This window comes from Homo sapiens, chromosome 1 (genome assembly GCF_000001405.40).
Source record: "Homo sapiens chromosome 1, GRCh38.p14 Primary Assembly".
NCBI classification, from domain to species: Eukaryota; Metazoa; Chordata; class Mammalia; order Primates; family Hominidae; genus Homo; species Homo sapiens.
In genome coordinates, this window is record NC_000001.11 from 15,068,778 (window position 1) to 15,090,996 (window position 22,219).

Here is a 22,219-nt window from a genome sequence, read left to right on the forward strand (position 1 = left end):
TCAATCTCTATATCTCCCAACTGAAAAAAAATTTTCCCCGGCAATAAGACTGATGGAGGGCTGGCTTTTAAGTCCCCTCCCACCTCTGCAGCATAAAGCTATGTAATACAGACACGATGCCGAGGTGAAAATGAGCCCCCAGTGAGGATGCAAATGGATGTGGTAGGATTGGGAAGGCCAGGAAAGCCCTGGGTGACAAGGAACTTAGGGCCATCTACCCCAGCAGTTCTCAGCCTGACCACACCTTAGGGAAAAAAAAAAATACTCATTCCAGGCCATATTCCTGGAATTGAAGTGTATTTAAATCTCCTCTGGTGATTCTAAAGGGTTGCCAGGATTAGAACCACTGAGCTGATCTGAGGAGGGCAAGTGTGGCCACACGCATGCCCCTACTCCCCTCTCCCTGGCCCCATGCAGACATCACCAATCAATTGAAGAGCCCTTCCTGCCCATCCCGAAGTGGCCTCTGATTTCTCACTTTACATAGCCTCAGATAGCCACAGCCAGTCAATCAGAGTTGGCATACAAGGATAAAGCCTTTTTGCCCTCTCAAAACTAACCCCGTCTCTCATGCGGGACATATGGCAAAAACTTTGGCCCAGAGAGGAATGACTTGGCCAGCGTCCTAGCTATCGTGCCTCTCATCCTGGGACCTTCTCAAGAGCCAGGCCATACCTTATTTGGGTCTTTGTAGCTCTACTCAAAAGCCACCGTACCTCCTTTTTTAAAAGAATCTTCTCCAGGGAAGCTGAGGCAGGAGAATGGCATGAACCCGGGAGTTGGAGCTTGCAGTGAGCCGAGATCGCGCCACTGCGCTCCAACCTGGGTGACAGAGCGAGACTCTGTCTCAAAAAAATAAATAAATATTTAAAAAAGAATCTTCTCCAGGACCTTGCTCCAAATGGTCCAACTTCAAATGGTACCTATTAGAAATTGGAGTAGGGCTGCCCAGGGCATCCAGGGCCAGCTGCACAGGTTGGGCACTGCATTACTCCAGAAGGTGCCATTCTCCAGGCTACCACGTGAATGGTGTCCTGGTTTTTCAATACACAAGCTGCATGACTGTACTCAGTGGCCCGTCTGTGTGCTCCTCCTACCCACGTTGCAGGCTAAAACAGCTGTAACCAATAATAACAATAATAATAATATCTAACATTGATTAGGCATTTACCACAGGCCAGGGTCCATGCTATGCACTTTACACATATTAACTCAGTTAACCCTCCCAACAGCCTGTCATTGATGAGAAAACAGACGTTGAGTAACTCATCTGAGGTCATGGAGCTGGGAGACAATAGAAGTGGGCCTCAAACTATGGAGTTTTGGCTACAGAGTTTGTGCCCTGAACCACTCCACCGTCTGAGCAGTGAGGGGCTGCCGCCAAGCAGCTGGGCCTTCTCCCAGGGGGGCATCTTCAGTGCATCATCTGGGCCTGGTTTCAAGGCCCCTTGCCCACCAGTAGCCTCTGACACAGCTTTGCACTGCCTCACTTTTGTGACTCAGTCTGTTTCCATCAGCCTTTTCCCCGCAGGCCCAGAAAGCTCACCCCTAGAGAGGAATCAGCGGGGGAATCAGAGCAGAAACCGGCTGCTGTCCAGCACCAGCTCTCCCTTCCTCTTCCTGGCTAAGTCAGGAGCAGAATCACCTCCACTGGCCCTGCAGTCCAACCCCTGGCTGTACCAGAGCTGCAGATCCTGAGGGGTAGTGCAGCCCCCAACACCTGGGGAGCTCTGTGGCACCCTTCCCCGCCACAGCATGAGCCTGCGGTCCAGGAGCCGCCCCGCACCTGTGACAAACGGTATCGTGCCCGTCACTCAACCTGGGCTCCTGGGGAATCCAGGCAGAGTGAGCCTGAACCGTGGGGGACATCAGTCGTTTGACAAAATGATTTTTAAAATACCTCTGGGCCAAAAGTTAGCCAAGTGTGGTGGCACACGCCTGTAGTCCCAGCTACTCAGGAGGCTGAGGCTGAAGCATCTCTTGAGCTCGGGATGTCGAGGCTGCAATGAGCCGAGATCGAGCCACTGCACTCCAGCCTGGGCGACAGAGTGAGACCCTGTCTATTATTTATAAATGAATAAATAAAATATCTCTGGGTTTTCCCCAAAAACTTGCATTTTCCCAGACACCCCAGATGGCTCCTAGGCTTTTTCCAGTTGGACTCCACTGGGCGGGGCAAAATATGCCCCGGTCCCTGGCCCCCACCTGTTCCCATTTTCCAGTGGTTACAGAACCTGGTGATAATGAAGAATGAATAGGGAACATGTATCAGCTTATTCTTTATAAAAGAGTATATTCGTAATTCTGCATTACAAAATAATGCCCCCAAACTTACAAATATCTTAGCAGTTCGTATGTTAGAAGTTATTTAAATATCAAAGTTATGGCATGTCACTAAAATGTCCCCCTGTGGGCAAATTGAGGGTATAAGTCTGGGATGGCAAATAGGATATGGATATTTCTCTTTTTATTTTTCTTTTTTTTTCTTTTTTGAGGCAGAGTCTCACTCTGTCGCCCAGGCTGGAGTGCAGTGGCGCGATCTCGGCTCACTGCAACCTTTGCCTCCTGGGTTCAAGCGATTCTCCCACCTCAGCCTCCCTAGTAGCTGGGACTACAAGCATGCATCACCACACCCGGCTACTTTTTGTGTTGTTTTTAGTAGAGACGGGAGTTTGCCATGTTGGCCAGGCTGATTTTGAACGCCTGACCTCAGGTGATCCACCCACCTTGGCCTCCCAAAGTGCTGGAATTACAAGTGTGAGCCACCGCACCCAGCCTGGGTATGGATATTTCATACCTGAACCACAATTGGATGATGTCTCAAAGTCCCGTGGCTGGAAAATATGCAAATATGCAGCACGGTACTCTATAGGGCAACAAACTGAATCCTTGAGAAAATGATCCCAACAGGATTGATCCAAGAATAGCAGCAAGGGGAAATCTTGGCCTATTCATCCTGAAAATGGCAGGACCTCTGATGACCTAGCACGTGCCTTGCAAGGCCTTGTGACGTTGCCAGGCTGTGTACAGAAACCATGCTTCTGGATCACAGAAAACACTGGCTGGTAGCTTGTTTGCATTTCTGAGTTTTAGGTTTTGAAAATTCCTTGTTGCTTTCTTAATGGTTACCAGTAAGTAGCTGTTAATCGCACCAATACAAGAGAACCTATAAAATTGCGTGCCTTGCTTCCAGAATCCTCAACGGAAGATTTGCCTTCGGGAAGTCATTTTTGCCCCCATCCAGAGGACCCTTGTAGCCCACCAATGGCTTCCCTGTCATACCTGGATAATCGCTCCCAGTTCTGGCCCCACATCTGATTCTAAGCAAGTTGTTTAACCTATGAACCTCAGTGTACTCATCTGTAAAATGGGTGTAATTACCCTCCCCTCCTCGTAGGTTCAGAAATGAGAACTGAATGTGTTTTTGGAGTCTGAAAAGGGCTGGCCCCATGATTACTATTCTCTGTGATTTGTAACACATCTTGAGCCTGACAGTGCCTCAAATCAAAACTTGTCCCTGGGGTAAAATCAGGGCATCGGGCTGTGTGTGTGAAGTTCCTCCATCTGCCAGGGTCTGTGAACACCAGCCCTCAGAGTGCAAATGCAGTTCCAGCACTGCTACAGAAAAGAATCTGGGCTGCTCTGCCTCAGAACAGGGAGGGTTTGAGTTATTTGCCCCTAGAATCCACCAGCTCTGACAGCATTCTGTCTTTCTGAGGTCTGAGTAGAAACACTTAGACGCTGCTCTCAGAACCCAGGGCCAGCCTGGTCTGGAAGTCAGGGCTGCCTCACTTATGCAGTATTTTCTTTGTGCCAAGCACTGTTCTAAGCTCTTTCCAGACACTCACTCGTATAATCCTTCCAGCAACTCTCCAAAATACATGTCATCCCCAGTTTACAGATGAACAAACCAAGGCGCAGAGAGGTGAAGTTCTTGACTGGAGTCACACACCTAGGAAGAGGTGGAACTGGGATTCACCTCTAGCAGTCTGGCTCCAGAGTCCATGTTCTTGGTAACTTTGCTGTGTAGTCTCAGGTCACCCACTGGCCCCAAGCCCCCTCTCAGGGCCTGCTGAGCAATAGAAAGCTTCAGAGAACATCAGAATGCAAGCCTCATTAGTAGGATGAGGCCGGGCGCTGAGTAGGCCAGCTTTTTAGGATTCAACTCCTTAATCCAGAAGAGGAAGAGACCGGCAAAATATGGGGTTTGCAAACTGTGTTCCATGGAACCCCGAAGGGGTTCCTCAGCAGTCCCTCAAGGGGTTGCCATAGCTGGCGAAAGAATCAGCAGGCAGGGCTCCAGCCTACCCTCAGCCAGTGGCTCTGCACTTACCTGTTACACACTGGACTTCCGTGTACGAGTCCACGTGAAAGGTCCCATGGTAGAGTGAGTGAGAAGGAAAGAGGAAGAGAGGAGGTTTGAGAAGCACAAGGAGATCAGTGGTTGTCAAACCTGACCTAGCTTTGGGTTTTAAAGATATCCATTCCCAGGCCCCATCCTGTAGCTACCGAACCAAAGGGTCTAAGGCCGAGGCCCTGGGAGCTGTGTGCGTATTGAACAAGCTGCCTGGTGTGGGCTCAGTCGCAGGAGGTCACATGGGGCAGAGACTGAGGGTGGCAGCGTAGTGCCCGTGGGTTGGAGGGCAGACTCGCCAGGGCCATCACAAGGTAGGTTGAGGCCACCTTCCTGGGGCAACCCCAGGGTCCCCCCAGTAAGGGAGGAAACTTACCCAAGCCAGACCCCAAGCTGCCCCCCAGGCAACCTGCTGCTTGGGGCCTTTCTAGGCCCCGCTGAGCAGAGGGGACGGGCACTCTGGAGTATCTGACGCCCCAGGCCAGCCTCAGAAGCCTGCAGCAGCACCCACACTGCAGGCACAGAGAGGTTCCCCGAGTCTCCGAGAGATGCATAGCCAGGAAGTGGCAGAAGCAGGAGTCAAACCTGAGTGAGATCTGAGTTCTGAGCCTGAGGTCCATCCGACTCCTCCTGACCTGTGTCTGACTGAGACTTCTGTCCGGTGGACCTGCTGGCCTCGGTCTGGGGCCAGTGATATCCCATGGACACCAGACCATGAGCCCTAAACTGGGGGCAAGTCAGCCCAAGCTGCTGCACTCTGGGAAGTGGTCAGATGTGGAGCTGCTACAGAGGGGCCTGCAGGCCTCTGCCCACCCCTGCCCTTGGGCTCCTGAGGAGGCCCAGTCTTCTTCACCCAGAAGCCCCACCACCCCCAGCCCAGCGCCTTCAGGGCCCCTGAGCCCGGCTCTGGACTCCCAGTGTTCAGGTTGGTCAAGGACTCGCTGTGTGACCACAGCCAAGCTGGTCTCCCTCTCTGGGCCTTAAGCTGTCTCTAAAACAGACCAGGACAGTGGTTTTCCACCTGTGGCCTGTGAAATCTGAGAAGTCCCTGGATGTGCCTCAGAAGGCGGTCGGCAAGGGAGAGGCTGCAGCCACCGTGTTGGAGGGTCCCTCCCTGCCATCCGCCTCCCTGCCCTTTAGCCCTAAACTCCAGTGTATTCGGCTTGTTGAAATAGGTGTGAATGACGGGTCTGCAGCATCTCTGCAGCTGAGAGGCAGTATGTGAGAAAACCAGGGGGCACATCATCTCCAAGCTCCTCCAGGGGTCTCTGGGCTGTGATCAGGAAGGGAGAGGGGCACCAGCCTGGTGAAGGAGTCACTCCTCATGGGTGTCCCCCGGCTTCCCTGCTCACCCCTCCTCCCTATCAGTGAGGGGCAGTATGAGACCCTCCTTAACCCTGGTAGAACAGGAAATAGGAAAATGGGGCCCCTGGCTCCCCTTCTGGAAGTCTATAAGACAAGGCCAAGGCCATGAATGTCCCCCACGAACCACAGGACAACTGCATTGAGCAACGCCTCCCCAGGTCACAGCGATTTACAGTTCACGACACTCTTTCACGGGGAGATGGGGGTCAGGGTTAAGAGATTACATCCTGGGCAAACTCCCTGGGTTTCAACCTCAGTCCTGACGCTTGTTACCTGGTAACCTTAGGCAAAGGACTTCACCTGCTGTGCCTTCGTTTCTTCATGGGGACAATAGGGGTGAAAAGATACTAGGTCAGAGTGTGGCTGCAGGGATGAAACAGGCCAATATGTATACAAGGCTTAGCACAGGGCGCAATAAACCTTAGCCACCATGATGATGACCGTGATGATGACAATGGCAATGGTGATCTCATTTCAGCCTCTCGCCGGCCCTGTGAGGTAGGCAGGACAGGGCCCTTTGTACAGATGAGAAGACTGAGGCCCAGGTAAGTTCAGCAATTAGCCCAAGCTGCAGGGGCCAGCCCAGAATAGGACCAGAGGGAGCAAGAGTTTGGGAGCTGAGAGGGGTGTCAGTGGTCTCTAGTCCACTCCCCTCATATTGCAGATGGGAGGGTGCTTGACCACAGCCCAGCAGGGCATCAGTGTCTGAACTGGTTCTGGAACCCAGGGCTCCTGCCTTCCTGGCCAGTGCTTTGAGCTGCCTCCAACCATAAGACTCAACTAGGGGGAAAAAAATCCCTGGGTCAGTAAGTTTTGGAAACACTGCATCATATCTCCACCCCTTATAGATCAGCACAACCCTTTCACTTATTAAGGCTCTGACAAGTTCTGCAATGAAAGAAAATCTTCTACCTTTACCCATCTAGTGTTTCCCAAACTTACGTGACCACAGAACCACACCTTTTACTCTCATTCGGTGGATCACCGACTGGAAACTATTGGGACAGATGACTTCTTCGGGCCCTTCAGCTCCACTATTCTGTGCTTTGAGGGCGCTGTCAGTGGTTCTGTGGCGATCTCTAAGCATGCCACCATTATTTAGCCATGAGAAGTCTCTGTGGCTCATATGACATCCCTATGGGCCTCCAGAAGGGAGGTGACAGACACCAGGTCAGGTGTAGTCACAGCCCCTCTATCTCAGCATCCACTTTGCTAAGAAAGGACCCAAAGCAGTGCACAGCACCCACATGAGGCAGAAGAGCCCGACAGATTGGCTTGGAAATGCCGGTCCCAGGGTGTTCATTATTTTCCTGCTCTCCTAGGTCCTAGATATAGACAGAGGGGCTGAGTCTGTTGGCACAGGGACCCAGGGGATGGGCATGTCCATGCTGCCAGGGTGTCTGGCCCCACCTGCCCTCCAGAGCACTTCATCACCCTTTGGTGGCTCTGAGCTGCCTAATTCCTTTCCCTGGGACAGGCCAGAGATGTCAGAGTCACATCCAAATTGGATCCGTGCTATACTAGGCCAGCTTCCTTCCTTATTAGGAGGCTGATGTCTGTGGAGGCGGTGTGGAGCCTGTGGCCAGGGCATGTGGACCAGGAGGGAAGGAAGCAGCCTCTGACAGCTGTCACTGTGGGCACCAGAGCTGTGGTGGCAAGGAGGAGACTTGAGACAAGCCAGGAGGAACTTGAGGGCCTGTCCCCAAATGGAGGGTTAGAGGTAACAGTCCCGGGTCACTGATGGCAGCTTGAGTGTGTGAGCCAATTCCAAATTCCTTGCATCTTTTCACATGTGTGCAAGAAACAAACTCATCTTAGTGACAGCCTGAGCCCAGCAGAATTGATCGGCCTCCTACAGGGAGGGGCTTGAGGAAAGGCCTCGGCTTCGGAGCTAGATCCTGAGGCTCAATCCCAGCATCGGCACATGCCAGCTGTGCAACACCGAGTCCCTTTGAGCCTCAGTTTCCCCCTCTTTGAAATGGAGATAAAACATATTGGCTGTTGCAAAGATAAAATAGTAAATGGAGAGACGCATCCAAGACACCCCAGCTGCTTCTTTCAGGGCTGCAGAGGCCCACGTGACAGAAAATCTCTGCTTCAGAGCAGGAACCCAGGCCCTGAGTCTGGGCTGTGCCCTCTGCACACAATTGATTGGCTTTTCTGAGCTCCACTTTTCTCATCTGTAAAATGGGCCCCTGGGAATCTTGAGTCCCCCTCTCTGGGGAGGATGCAATGAGCTCATGCTTACTAGTTGTAAAGCACCAGGCAAACATTAGCCGTCACGACTGCACTGCCTCGCGAGCAAGCTGGAATTACGGTCACCACCTGCTGTTTTAGATCAGCACCCACTGCAAACATATATTAGGGTGACAATGACAAGGACCCACCTTGTGGGCTCTCTCAGTTGCCAGCATTGGGCTGGACACTTACTCGCCTCATTTCAACTACGCCACAAACTCAGAGGCCTGTGGGGACCCTGCAGATAGGCGGGTCAGTGACGTGGCCACGTGGGGCCAGCACGTGCTGTAGCAAAAGGAAGCAGCTCTGCTCACTCCAGCGAGGCTGCTCGGAGCAATGCCAGCCTGGTGTTTCCAGAGCTCCAGATCTTCTAGAGAAGCCAAATATCTCACATAATACACCCCAAGTCTTTCATATTGACAACTAATTTTTTTTTAATTTAGTGTCCATTGGGGGAAAATTTCCAAGGCCCTAATTTGTCTCAGGGCCAACAGCTCTGTCACCTCCAGTCTAGATTCTCTCTCTGTGGACACCTCGTGCTCTGACAGTCCCTGGTCTTCCCCTGCGTGTGGAGTCCCCGGGCCTGCCTGGCTGTAGGCGCCCATCTCAATTCACCACCATCCTCCTTCACTGGAGGGCCCTCCTGTCCTCCACTCCCTGACGGCCAGGCAGCAGGGCTCCACGCTTGTTTCTCAACCCAGAGAAGTGTTCCCAAGACTTAGAGTGTTTGGGGAGTGGCAGTGGAGAAGGGAAAAGGGGTCTTCGCTCAGCACTGCCCTCGGAGGCCTTGAGTCACTGCAGGAATCCTGAGCTCCACCGCTCCTCCGCAAGGGCTACACAGGACCAGGTCAGCTGCTTGCAGCCACGTGACTCAGTTGTTTTTTATAGTCACTACCGGAGTCTCTGGGACTCAGAGATGGGGGTTGGGGGTTTCACCTTCAGGTGAAGATGTTGATGGGCCTGACAATAGGGTGACTCCGTATTATCCAAGAAATCCCAGGAGGCTGCGCAGTTATCAGCATGAAAAGCAGCTGCAGGCCTCCCAGGGATGCGGACAGGGGCTCAGAATGAGGAATGGGGACAAAGACTGGCTTCATGGGAGCAGGAGAGGTAGCAGGGGGTGTGAGGAAAGCTAATATGACTTGCTGACATTTACTAAGTGCCTACTGTGCCAGGCATGGGGTAGGCATTTGATGTACACTCATTAAGTCTTTCAACGAACACTGACTGAATGTTTCCTATATGCCAGGTTTAGGGCTTAGGGCTGAGGATGCAGATGTGGATGATGAGATAAATTATCCTAACATCATCCTCACCAAAGTCACGTAAGAAATTTGGTGAGGAAACTGAGGCTCAGAGAAGTAACATACATAGCCCTAAGAGACAAAATAAGTGATGTGCTGGATGCGGTGGTTCATGCCTGTAATCCCAGCACTTTAGGAGGCCAAGGTGGGCAGATTACTTGAGGCTGGGAGTTCGAGACCAGCCTGGCCAATTCCATCTCTACTAAAAATACAAAAATTAGCTGGGCATGGTGGTGCGTGCCTGTAATCACAGCTACTCGGGGGGCTGAGGAAGGAGAATCGCTTGAACCTAGGAAGCGGATGTTGCAGTGAGCCGAGATCGTGCCACTGTACTCCAGCCTGGGCAACACAGCGAGACTCCATCTCAAAAAAAATAAAAAATAAAGTGATGGAACGAGGCCAAGAATTGGGGTCCAACAGACTGCACGACACTGCTTTCCAGGCAGATATGATTGAAGCTGATTAAACTGTGAGCTGTTAGGATAAGGCTTTGTTCTCTAATTTCCAGAATTCAAGGGCTGGAGGGAGGCAGACAAGGCGGGGAGCAGGGATCACGATTAAAGGTCACCTACAAAGGGAGAGAAGATTAATTCACAAAATGGGAAGAAACCTCCTAGGATCCTTTGCCCCATGCTGTGGCTCTGGCTGAACATATTAACAGATTCTAGAAGGGCATCGGTCTGCAGCGCGCATGCTGTTCCTCTCAGCTGCCGCTACGGGACCTCCAGTTAGAACGTTTCATGAGGCATGATTGGAAAAGCCAAAACTGGTGCCAGTGTTCCCCTTGCCATTCTCCTATAGGTGTCTAAGTTGCAAGAATTCCCCCCACCAAGGACCTCATCAAAGCTGTCTTCGTTCTGAAGGAAATTAAATCAATGCTGCTCGTAAATGTGTTTGCTGTTCCTAAACTGGCCTTTGTGCAATGCATAGTGAAAGCCGCTCACCACTGGCTTAAGAAACTCCCGGGAGGCAGTTGCAAAGCTTTTTGAGGGAGATCGGAGGTGGGACAGTTTGCATGAATCATGCAAGATAGTCACATAGAAGACAGCACCTCCAATCACCTCACCCTGGTCTAGAGGCTTGGCATCTGGCTCAGTGGTGAGTTCCTGTCCCGGTGTGCAAATAGGCAAGGATTCACCAGGCAGGGTCTCCCAGCCGTCACAATGCCCAGTGTCCATAGGCGCCTGTGGAAGAGGCTCAGCTGAGCCAGAAAGAACCTAGGTTGTCTGGAGGCCTAAGGAGGAACTGCTTGCCAGGGAGGGGGCTCATTCAAGCCAAAGAGGCAAAATTGGTGAAAATCTAGCTAGGGAGTGAATTAATCCAGTTAATTAATTATTAAAGTAATAACTAGTCGTTAAATTGTGGACACAAGATGAAGGACCTTTTGTCACAATTCAATACTGTTGGCTTATTTTTTTTTTTAGTGAAACCCAACATAATTTCAGATATTTTACTAAACAATGTGAAAGTGGGGTTGGGGCACAGCTGATTTCCTGAAACCCACAGCCATCCATCGCCCCCAGCTTTGCCTCCAAGAGCTGTACAGATGCACACGTGCCCGGCCTCTGCATGGGTGCGTGGAGAAGGATGGTCTTCTTGCCCTGGCCACCTGTGTCAAGATCCCCCCCTCACTTCTCATGGGATCCACCTTTCAGGGCTGCCCACTGGCAGAGAAGCCTGCCGGGAAAACATGTCAGAAAAGAGGAGTCAGTGTGGGACTTGCCCAAGGAGGCCAGCAGCTGGAGAAAGATGGGCTTCGGCTGCACTTGCAATTGAGACTATAAGAAGGACTTCCCAAATGTGGGTGCTGCTGCAGCAGTGGAACAGGTTAGCAAGGAAGAAAGAGGAAAGCTTTTGATGTATAGATATATATGTAAAAGCATAAAGTCATTGTCATTGGATAACTATGTGTTTGTCTTCCCTGGACCTCTTAGCAGCTTCCTCCTAAGTGCATAAACTTAGAGAATACTTGTCAAGTACCTGCCTAGGAACTGAGTGCAGAGCAGTGGGGACCCTGGCCAACCCCAGGATCTCAATTCCCTGGCCCTTTGGAAAATTTTCAGAGTGTGGCAGGAGGGACTGAAGGAGGAGGATGTCCTCCGAGGTTGGGAGAAGGGTGGCTGGTCATGGGAAAAAGCACAAGTCTAGGCCTTTGCAAGACGGTGGCACCAAAATGAGGGGGCGCCCATGTGATTTTTTAAAAGTATAAAGCAGTTATTGTTGGTAAAAGCAGCACTCTGCTGGACTTTTCTATTTACTTTATGATGTCGTAAATAGGGACACGTTGGGGTGGGAGGTACCACCACTGTTTTAGCCCAGGGCCTCCCAAGGGTGAGCCTGGCCCTGGGGTCAGGGGTGGTGCAGGTTGGTGGCAGGGCCCCTGCCACCTCGCTGCCCACCAAGGGTCCTGCCATCAGCCCCCAGCAGCCACAGTGGTGAGTGACTGATAGGCTCTCCTCCTGATGCTCTTCACACCCACGCTGTCCCTGGTCCTGTGGGCTACCACAGAAGCCTTTCACACATTTCATAAGTATTTCATGGGGCTTGTGACTGAGGGATCAGCAAAGCATCTACATCCAACAGGGCAGCCATGATCGGGCCATAAAAAGTTGTTTTTTCACATTATCATGAAGTGTTTAAAAAATGAGAATTCAGCTTTTGGAGCTACATGTGCTGATGGAGGCTCCCCTGCCACTTCCCAAGGGCAGGGAGTGTTGACAGTAGTTGGCTGCCTGAACAGAGCTGGGCTGGGCTGAGAACAGAGGCCCCGGGGTAGAAGGGAGTAGGACCCTCCCTGTGCCTTAGGGCATGCTGGGGACGCTGGGAGCAGCTACACTCGGTGCTCCCCAGCAGCTTGTGGTTGGAGGCCAGGGATGCTGCTACATGTCCTACGATGCACGGGACAGCCCCATGACAAAGAAATCTGGCCCCAAATGCCGAGTGCCAAAGTTCAGAGGCCTTGCCGTAGGCAGAGGGACAAGAGAATGGTAGCATCTACTGCATAAGAGGGGCCACAGGTGACCCTGCTGTGGCTGGAAGAGGCGTGGACGAGGCGGGGTTGGCAGAAGATGAGACCACAGAGGAAGGCCTGCTCCCTCCCTCCCTCCGTTCCTCCCTTCCTGCCTTCTTTTACTCAATACTTAGAGGGCTCATTCAATTGCAGGCAGTGCTGGGCCAGGGCTGGCTCACACAGGCCCACGGATGGCTCTCTTCCCAACTCCACGTCCAGTGACAGCCTGCCGGTCACTGAAATTGGCCACAATAGGAGTATTTACACCACAGAAATTGGCAAGCAAATGCTAAAACCAGTGTACCTCTGGAAAATATAAGAGCCGGTTGTTAAACGTGGTTGGGCCCTTGCTAGGGACTAGAGATGTCTAGGGAGCAAAACCAGGCCCAGCGCCTGCTCATGTGCAGTTTATGGTCTGGTGGGAGACACAGACTTTCATCGAATAATTACACAACTGTTCGTTTCAGCTGTGAGAGATGTCATGCAGGAAAGGTTCCAGGAATTAATGACAGCGTGTGTGTGTGTGTGTGTGAGTGTGTGTGTTGGGGAGTTGTAGGGTACCCACACTAGGTGACCAGGAAAGGAGTCCCTGAAATAATCAGTATTGAAACAGAGCCCTGAGCCTGTGTAAGCTTCACCAGGCAGAGGAAAGTGACAGGCCGCTGTTCAGGCCAAGGGAACGGCAGGTGCAGGGATTGGAGAGGGGGAATTAGGGGCATCGGGGAAATGCAGGAAGCCCAGGGTGCCAAGGGCAGGGGTGAGAAGCTAAGGATGAAGCTGGCAAGGTCGGCCTGTGGGTCACAGCAAGGACCTTGGGCTTTACCAGGGAGCCATTGAAGGATGATGAGCAGAAGAGGTCCCTGGGAAGATACCATTTTTTAAAAAAATTTCCTCTGGGCTTGAAGAGGATGGAATGAAAGAGAAAGAGGGAGGTAGGGTGTTGAGATACAGCTGGAGTGCTCCAGATAGGAGATGGTGGAGCCAACTGAGACAGGGGACAGGTGATGGAGACTCAGGAGTGATGGAATTCAGCAGGGGACGTTGCAACCTTAGCCTGCCCTCACCAAGCTCACTGCCTCAACTCTGCCTCAGTGGCAGCCGAGGTCCAAGTGCTCAGCCCCCCTATCTGAGGTCTGAGACCCTATGGGGCAGCAACAGGCCCAGCCAGGTGCAGGGACACATTCAGCCACCTCACTTGACCTCCAGGGAAGCCTGGTTCCCTGCGCCACCTCCAACTCAGACACACAAGACACATTTACAACTAAAGCTTTTCTATCAGGCTCCAGGGAGCTCTGCATCCAGGCACACATTTGACCCCAGGGATGCAGATGCCAGGGAGGTGCCAATGTGCTTGATGCTGCAGACATCAAAAGAGGCTCAGAAGCCCAGGGCATGGGTCACTCAGCCACAGGCTGGGTATAGACTCAAAATTTTAAATAGTAAAAGAAGAAAAAAAATTAATTAAAATGCTAGAGCACTAAGTCTTTCCCATAGCTGCTGCCAAGGGTGTCTGCCAATGGCACTCTGAGGTCAGGGACATGCGGGACCAGGATGAAGAATTCCACCTCCCTCTCACTCGCCATGCAGGGTGGGCATAGGAGAATTTACAAGGCCTTTACCTCTAAGCCTCTGCAGTTTGTTTTTGTTTGTTTTGTTTTGTTTGAGACGGAGTCTCGCTCTGTCGCTCAGGCTAGAGTGCAGTGGCATGATCTCGACTCACTGCAACTTCCACCTCCCAGGTTCAAGCGATTCTCATGCCTCAGCCTCTCAAGTAGCTGGGATTACAGGTGCGTGCCACCATACCTGGCTAATTTTTGTATTTTTAGGAGAGACAGGGTTTCATGTTGGCTAGGCTGGTCTCGAACTCCTGACTTCAATTGACCTACCTCTGCATTTTTAACCACCTCCCTGGTAGCTGACATCCCTGATCTAAAGACCACTCTAGGAGCAGTCTCCCTCCTCTAAGTCCCAGCCCTACTGCAAGACTGTGGGATGGACCACGTGACCTTGAGGGCACCATTTAGCCCTAGAATTCTGAATCCCACTGGGTGGGAGGCCCAGGTGACCCCATTCATGATGCCATTTGAGCAGCAAGTACCAGGGTGCTCCAAACTCTTCGGAGGTAGGCACCTTTCCTTGCTCTGGATGGCTCCTAGACAGGCATGTGGACTCAAGCCTGTGCAGCCCCTTTTAGTTGCAAATGTCAACCTCAGGCTAGGTGGAGGGGGGACTGTTTCAGGGCAAAAATGGTGGAAAGTAGTACATAGCAAAACCTTCTCAAAGCTTCTCCCAGACACTGGTGAATGGTGCACTGGGCCTGTCCGGCCATCACCTCTGGCTCCAGGCTGCCTGTGTCACTCCAGCCCAGGGCTCACCCCCGCCAAAGTCTACCATCCTTCCATCCCGCCTTTCCATGCCACCTGTCCCCGGTAGCTTAGTAAGCATTAGGCATGAGTGTCTCTGGTCATAGAATGAATATGCAGGCACTGTACGGTTTGGTAGAGCAGTCCAAAGGATGGACAGACACGCAGAGCCCCAAGTTCAGTGGCAACACCCATGTGAACATCGGCCTGTCTTTCCCGATCACAGGCCTTTGGATCCCATCAAGTCTGTCTCGGTGCTTAGGCCTGTCTCTCTGTCTCTCTCTGTGTCTGTCTCTCACTCTGAGTCATGGCTGGCTTCAAGTTCCCCAGCCTGGCAGGCAGGGCCAGGAGCCATTTCCCAGCCTGTGAGAGTATCTTCCCACACCCCACACACCATCCTGCCTCTTGCCAGTTTGAGCAATCCTTGCCAATGTTATGTAACCAAGCACAGGCGTTCAAGAACAGGCGAGAGGGCTGCTCACATAGGTTCTTCTACACTGGGAGGCGGGGAATTCAGGGTTGAAGCAGAGCTCCCACACTAGCCTGCTGGAAACATCGGGGGACCCCTCTGAGCCTTCACTTCCCATCTGAAATGTGCCCTTTGCCCCTTTATTCCTGGGGGAAGGCAAGAGAAACTGAGGCTTCCCAAAGGAATATCCAAGTGAATAATGGTATCATCTTCCTTGGCTGTCAAAACAAGTAGAACAGGGAAGGGCTGAGCTGGGGGGAAAGGCAAAGGAAATGGTATTTCCCATAACCTGGACTTTTCCCATCACTGATGACATTGGACATCTCCATATACCAGGCCCTGGTAATACAAATATGGAAAGACTTGGCTGATGACCTCGGCAATCACTTTGTGGCAGGGCAGATGGACAGGCCATGCACAGCAGTGCCAGCAGGAAGCAGTGTGCTGGGTGGACAGTGCACACAGCCAGAGGGACGGCCACTCAGGGCAGCGTGGGGGAAGACATATTCGGAAGGGCCTCCCTCTACAAAACCAATAAATCTGGAATGAAACATACTTTTTAATGCATTCCTGGTCTCACAGAAAATAAGGGAAATCCCCAAGACGTCTACAGACAAAAAACAAAAGCTGTAAGCTAACACCAGAACAGGAGCAGTGAGTGATCACCAAAGGCAAAAGCTGAGGTTGTCCTGGAGGCAAATGCTGCTATCAGGACTGTTATCAGGGGGTTAAATTTTGGGATATAGCAAAGTGGAAGAACAGAGCCAGAGATGCTGTCATTCAACCAGAGTCTCTCAAAGGGGCATGAAGTGGCCCCTGGACCCAGGTCTCATCCCCACTCCTCTTCTCTTCCCCACCCCAGTAGAAGTTAATGTAAATCCTCTCTGGAGAAAGGCATCTGCTATTTAGACCCAAAGATTCCCGCAAATTAAGATCAAATATGTGTTCAGCATGAGTGAAAGTCAGCAAAAACAAATAGCAAATTTAGACCCTCTAAGGCCTTTTCAGGTTTAGTAATTATCAATACCAAATACAAAATACTAAATACTATGCATAAAATACTTAAGGAAATGTCAGATGAAATCACAGACATGAGCAAACAACAGGAAACTGTCTCACAAGACCAGGAAAACTTGAAAGAGAAAACAGATAAAACGTTTTAGAAATGAAAAAAATATAGCTGATAACATTAAAAATGAATAAAAGGGTGGGTTAAACAGCAGACTAAATAGGTGAAGAGATAATTTTAAAAATGGAAAAAAAGACCTAAGGAAATTACCAAGAATGCAACGCACAGAGATGAGATGAAAACTAAAGGAGAAATTGCTGTATCGAATACACTAGCCACTAGCCCACATGTTCTTAGATTTATATTTGAATTAATTAAAATTAAATACAACTAAAACTCAGGTCTTTAGTTGTATCAGCCACATTTTACCTCTGCCATTATTATTTTGTTTTTTTTGAGATGGAGTTTCACTCTGTCACCCAGGCTAGAGTGCAGTGGCACAATCTCGGCTCACTGCAACCTCCACCTCCCAGGTACAAGCGATTCTCCTGCCTCAGCCTCCTGAGTAGCTGGGATTACAGGCATCTGCCACCACGCCCAGCTAATTTTTGTATTTTTGGTAGAGATGGGGTTTCGCCATGTTGCCCAGGCTGGTCTCGAACTCCTAGGCTCAAGCAAGCCTCCCGCCTTAGCCTCCCAAAGTGCTGGGATTACAGGCGTGAGCCACCACGCACCACCCACTAGCCACATTTATTAGCTCATAACCACTTGTGGTTAATGGCTATCCTATTGGTCAGTGAAGGTTATAGCAGATTTTCATCAACACAGAAAGTTCTGTTGGACAGCACTAGGTCACAAGATAGGAAAAAATAGAATTAGAAAGTCCAACTTATATCTAACTGGAATCCCAGAAGGAGAGAACCGAGAGAATGGAAAAGAGGTAATATTGTAAGAGATAATGGTTCAGAATATTCAAAAAAAGGAGTCCAGAGATACAGGAAGCACAATTATATCATTCAGAATAAATTTGAAATATCCACATCTAGCCACATTGCAATGAAACTTCAGAACACCAAGGACAAAAAGAAAAAATTTTTTTGAGACAGAGTTTTGCTCTGTTGCCCAGGCTGGAGTGCAGTGGTGCGATCTCGGCTCACTGCAACCTCTGCCTCCTGGGTTCAAGCGATTCTCCTGCCTCAGCCTCCCAAGTAGCTGGGATTACAGGCGCCCCCGACCACGCCCGGCTAATTTTGGTATTTTTAGTAGAGACGGGGTTTCACCATGTTGGCCAGGGTGGTCTCGAACTCCTGAAATCAGGTAATCCACCTGCCTCGGCCTCCCAAAGTGCTGGGATTACAGGCATGAGCCACCATGCCTGGCTGACAAAGAGAAAATTTTAAAAGTAGCTAATGAAAGAACAATTCGGCTTGCAGTGGACTTCTCTATAGCAGAAATGAAGACCCACGATCATGAAACAACATCGTCAAAGCGCTAAAACAAAAGGCAAACTCTCAACCTAAAACCGTGTTCCCAGCAAAACCCTTTGAAGCACAAGGGTAAAACAGACTTTCTTCAGATAGGCAAAAGTTGTAACAGCTAACTACCAAAACACTTGTAATCGAAAAATCTTTTAAACCATGTTCTTCAGGAATAAGAAAAGTTATTCCAGAAGGAAGGTCTGAGGTACAAGAAGACATGATGAACAAAGAAATTGGTAAACATGTAAGTCAATTATTTTAAGCAAACGTTATCAGTATAAAATAATCATCGTGACAATGTCTAAATTATGGGGTTTCAAAAGAGGATAGAATTAAAATCCTGGATGTGGTAGCATGGAAGTCAGGAGGAGTGAGCAGAATTAATATATTTTAAATAATTCTTACTATTTAGGATGGCATTAGGATATTGAACAACCCTAGGTTTTATTAAGGTAAATAGGTATAGTGACTTTTCAAGGGTAATCATTAAGGCCGTGGTTCTAGAACTTGAGAATACCTCAGAATTATCTGGTGGGTTATGAAGCAGACCACTGGGCTCCACCCCCAGAGTTTCTGTTCCAGGAGATCTGGGGTACAGTTCTAGAATTTTCATTTCTACCAAATTCCCAGATGCTGCTGATGCTACTAGTCCAGGGACCACACTTTGAGAACTACAACTACTATACTAAAATCAGAAGCAGAGAAAGCTTAACTTCCAAACCAACGGAGGGTGGCGGGGAAATGGAATGAGAAAACAAACCAAAGAAAAAAATAATCTTCCATCCAGACCAGCTCTGTCCAGTAGAAACTAATGCAAGCCACATGTGTAACTTTATACCTTCTATTAGCCACATTTGAAGTAAAAAGGAACAGGTGACATGACTTTTAATAATATATTTTATTTAACTGGTATACCCAAAATATGATCAATATGTTATCAATTTTTAAATGATTATGAAATAATTTACATTCTTTTTTTTTTCTACCGTCTTCAAACTCCAGTATGTGTTTTATGCTTAAAGCACTTTTTTCTTTTTTTTTTTTTGACAGGGTCTTACTCTTTCGCCCAGGCAGGAGTGTAGTGGCGTGATCTCAGCTCACTGCAACCCCCGCCTCCTGGGTTCAAGCAATTCTCCTGCCTCGGCCTCCCGAGTATCTGGGACTACAGGCATGCACCACCATGCCCAGCTAATTTTTTTGTATTTTTAGTAGAGACGGGGTTTCACCATGTCGGCCAGGGTGGTCTTGACCTCAGGTGATCCACCCACCTCGGTGTCCCAAAGTGCTGGGATTACAGGCATGAGCCACCACACCCAGCCCTTAAGGCACTTCTCAATGTGAGCTAGCCACATTACATGTTCTGTAGGCACATGTGGCTTGTAGCTGCTGTACTGGACAGAGCAGTCTGGACAGTAAGTGACATGGGCCCGCAGGGGACAGAGGCCTCCACTCCGTCACTGAGTATCCACTCTATGTCAGACACAAGGCTGAACACTTTGCACACATCATTTCATTTCATCCTCACACCATCCTGTGAGATTAAGCGTTCCTATCATCCCCGTTTTACAGAGGGGAAAACCGAGGTTGAGAAAATGTAAAACGCTTCCGTGAGATCTTTTGGTTGATAAGCCACGGAGCTGGGATTCAAACCCAGGGCTCCCATATTCCAGTGCCAGCCTCTGAACGTCTAGGCCAGGCGTTTCTCTATGTGGTCTTTTGCACCGGGCCAAAAAACTTTGTGGGCTTTAAGCTTTAGGCTTTGTGGGCCTGTCTCAACGTCTCAACTCTGCCATTGTAGCATGAAAGCAGCTTTAGACAATAAATAAACAAATGGGCATGGCTGTGATCTAATAAAAACTTTATTTAGAAAAATAGGAGGGAGGGCTGGATTCGGCCTGGGAGGCCGTAGTCTGCTGACCTCTATGCTGGGCCAACACAATTGCCTCTGTAAGGCCTCATTTAGGGGAGACGTCAATGGTCACACTCAGTAGTACTAACATTCTGTGGGTGGGGGGGTGTGCATGCGTGCATATGTGTTGGGGTGGGTGGAAGGATGCACAGCCTCTCGTTCCAAAGTCCACAGTCTTTCTAGTTTCTGGAAGGATCCCGAGTGACTGCCTTTTAGTGGTAGCTTCTCAGACTCCACCAGGGACTCAGCCAGCACCCGCGACTCGGCAGCCCCTCCGCTGAGCAGCCTGGCCATCAACATGAGTTATTCCCTCTCTCAAGACTGAGAAGGAGGGAAATAAAAGCCAGGATTGATGGAATCCGGACATAAAATCTGGCCCCATAATGCCTGCATTTTGGAAACTGCCTTTAATTAATGGTTTATGACCCCAAGGCCCCCCTAGACTCCTCCCAAGCCCTTCTGTCACGTCGTCTCGTTGGTGCTCAGTCCTCAGGGGTGGGGGAGAAGGAGGCGGTGGTGAATAGGGGCGGTGAATAGCTGTCTTGCAGAAACCAAAATGTGTGGTTTGCGCACATGAACCCAGCCTGGCCTCTGGCATTCCTAGGGCCTGGACTCCATAAATAATGCGAGCTGTAAAGCCAGCTCCCCTCACAGCCCTGAGGCCTGCTCACTACAGAAAATAAATAACCCACACACACTCACAAAGACACACAGGCACACGCACACACACGCTCACATTGCACACCAGACGTTTGCCTTTTCTGTTTGTCCACGTATCTGTTATCCCCTCTCTGACCTCGACTCCCTCTCTCCCTCTCCTCCTTTCAATTTACTTTCGCATCTTTATTGCATCTGGACACCCTTTCTCTCCCCAAACCCTCTTCTTTGAACCTTCCCCTCTTCTGGGGGACTCAGGAGCAGCAGCCAACTTCTGCTCCCATCTCCTTTCTCTCCTTCCCATGCTCCTTTAGCTCCCTTTCTTGGGGAGACATAGCCAAGGGCTGCAGACACCCCCCACCCACCCACCTGGGCACAGAACGGACAGATCCACCCTCACCTCACTGAGAGCCCCACCCCTCCCACCTTGACCAGGCAAGAGTCCAGCAGGGACAGTGAATTTCTGCCCTGCCAGGCTGGACAACCAGGAGGACTTGTTCCCTCTGAAGGCACCAAAGCTGTAGCCAGGAATGTAGTGGGAAGGAAGTGGCTGCAGCTAAACTCTAGGTGTGGCCAAACAGTGCCCAAGCCCCAGGAGAGGGGCCCCTTATTGCCAACAATAGCCAGCCTTGACTAAGTGCCTACTGTCAGCCTGAAAAAACAGACATCAGAAAAAAATATCTCCTATATGATGAATGTATTTGGGAGTAAGCATAAATGGATTAGTCTCTGGAAGTATAGCTGTGGCAAGCCATAGGTGCGTCTGGAGAGGGGACAGCAAAGGGAAGCTTTTATTGGCAAAAAAAAAAAAAAAAAAAAAAAAAAAAAAGAGAAGTTCACATAAGCTGCTTGGAAACAGACTTCATTGGCTGCAGAGGCTCAAAGCTAGAGTTGGCATCAGTTCATTGGTGGAGATGACGTTACTGGGCAGTGTTCTTTGGAGAACATCTTACCTGAATTGCTGCAGTCCTGAAGAAGGAATTTCTTGGGGGCTATTTTAGAAAGTCCTTGAGACAGTCCTTATCTCAAACATGCAAGCATGAGTTCCCCTCCTTCGTGATTTCCCGGCTCTAATTCTTCTGGTTCTGACAAAAGTGATTTCATCCTGGTATCTGCAACTTTCACACCCCCATAGCTTCGCATTCAGAGTTTATAACATTCATTTCAAGCTACGAGGCAGATATTCTCATTATTCCCATTTTATATATGGAGAAACGGAGGCTTCAAGGAATCTGCCTGATGCTGAGGTCTGTTCAACTCCAAAGCCTGGTCCAAATGGATGACAGGGGCCGTGTCTTGGAACTTTGGGTAACCAGATTTGGCCACATATCACCTCTCCTCTTCCCAGAAGCACATAACAGAGGTGAGACTCAGCTAGCAGAATAAAACAGAGTGAAGCCAGCCAGGCTGGAGGCCTCCCGGGGGCTCTCAGCTCTTTCCCATCCAGGAAGGATGCCGTGTTTCAGTGCCTGTTCCAATCCCTATAGAATTTGGAGTCCTGTGCCTGATCCAAAAGACTTCCCTGCAAGCCATGCCGGTCCGTGGGAGCCGGGCACCAGCACTGGCTGCCGGCCTGCACCCCGGCCTGACAGCCCTGTCACCTGGCAGGAAGGTGGGGCCCTGGCGGGGCTGCAGAGGCAGCTGCTGCCGTTTCCGCATTCCTGGCACCATGGCAACAGGAGGCCACTCAGACGGGTGACCTGCACAGAGCTCTCTGCAACCTCTGCCATTTCCTTGGGAAAAACAAAGGGCTTAGGCTCACTGAGAAGGGAAACGTGATAATGTTGGCAGTGACCTCTCAACCCATACTTGTCCCAGCACGGACAGCCCGTCACACTCACCCCCGCTGAGTCCTCACGGCAGCCCACAGAGGAGGCAGGCAGCAGAGAATGGTACCGGGTTAGCTTTACAGAGGAGGAAACTGAGGCACAAGGTGTTTGGGAGACAGGTTTTGGTGGAGATGGGGATGATGGATGAGTGTGTGGTCACCAGGTGGATACAGTCCTTTTCAAAGAGTCCCTCAAGGAGTTTAAAATGGAGAGAGGGAAGGCCTTGTGGGGAGG

At 50.3% G+C, this 22,219-nt stretch overlaps 1 protein-coding gene across 10 annotated transcripts in view; it reads left to right on the forward strand.

The window, feature by feature from the left end:
• The window catches only part of KAZN (kazrin, periplakin interacting protein), a 1,225,220-nt gene that overhangs the window by 1,175,954 nt on the left and 27,047 nt on the right, over positions 1 to 22,219 (forward strand). The window lies entirely within an intron of this gene.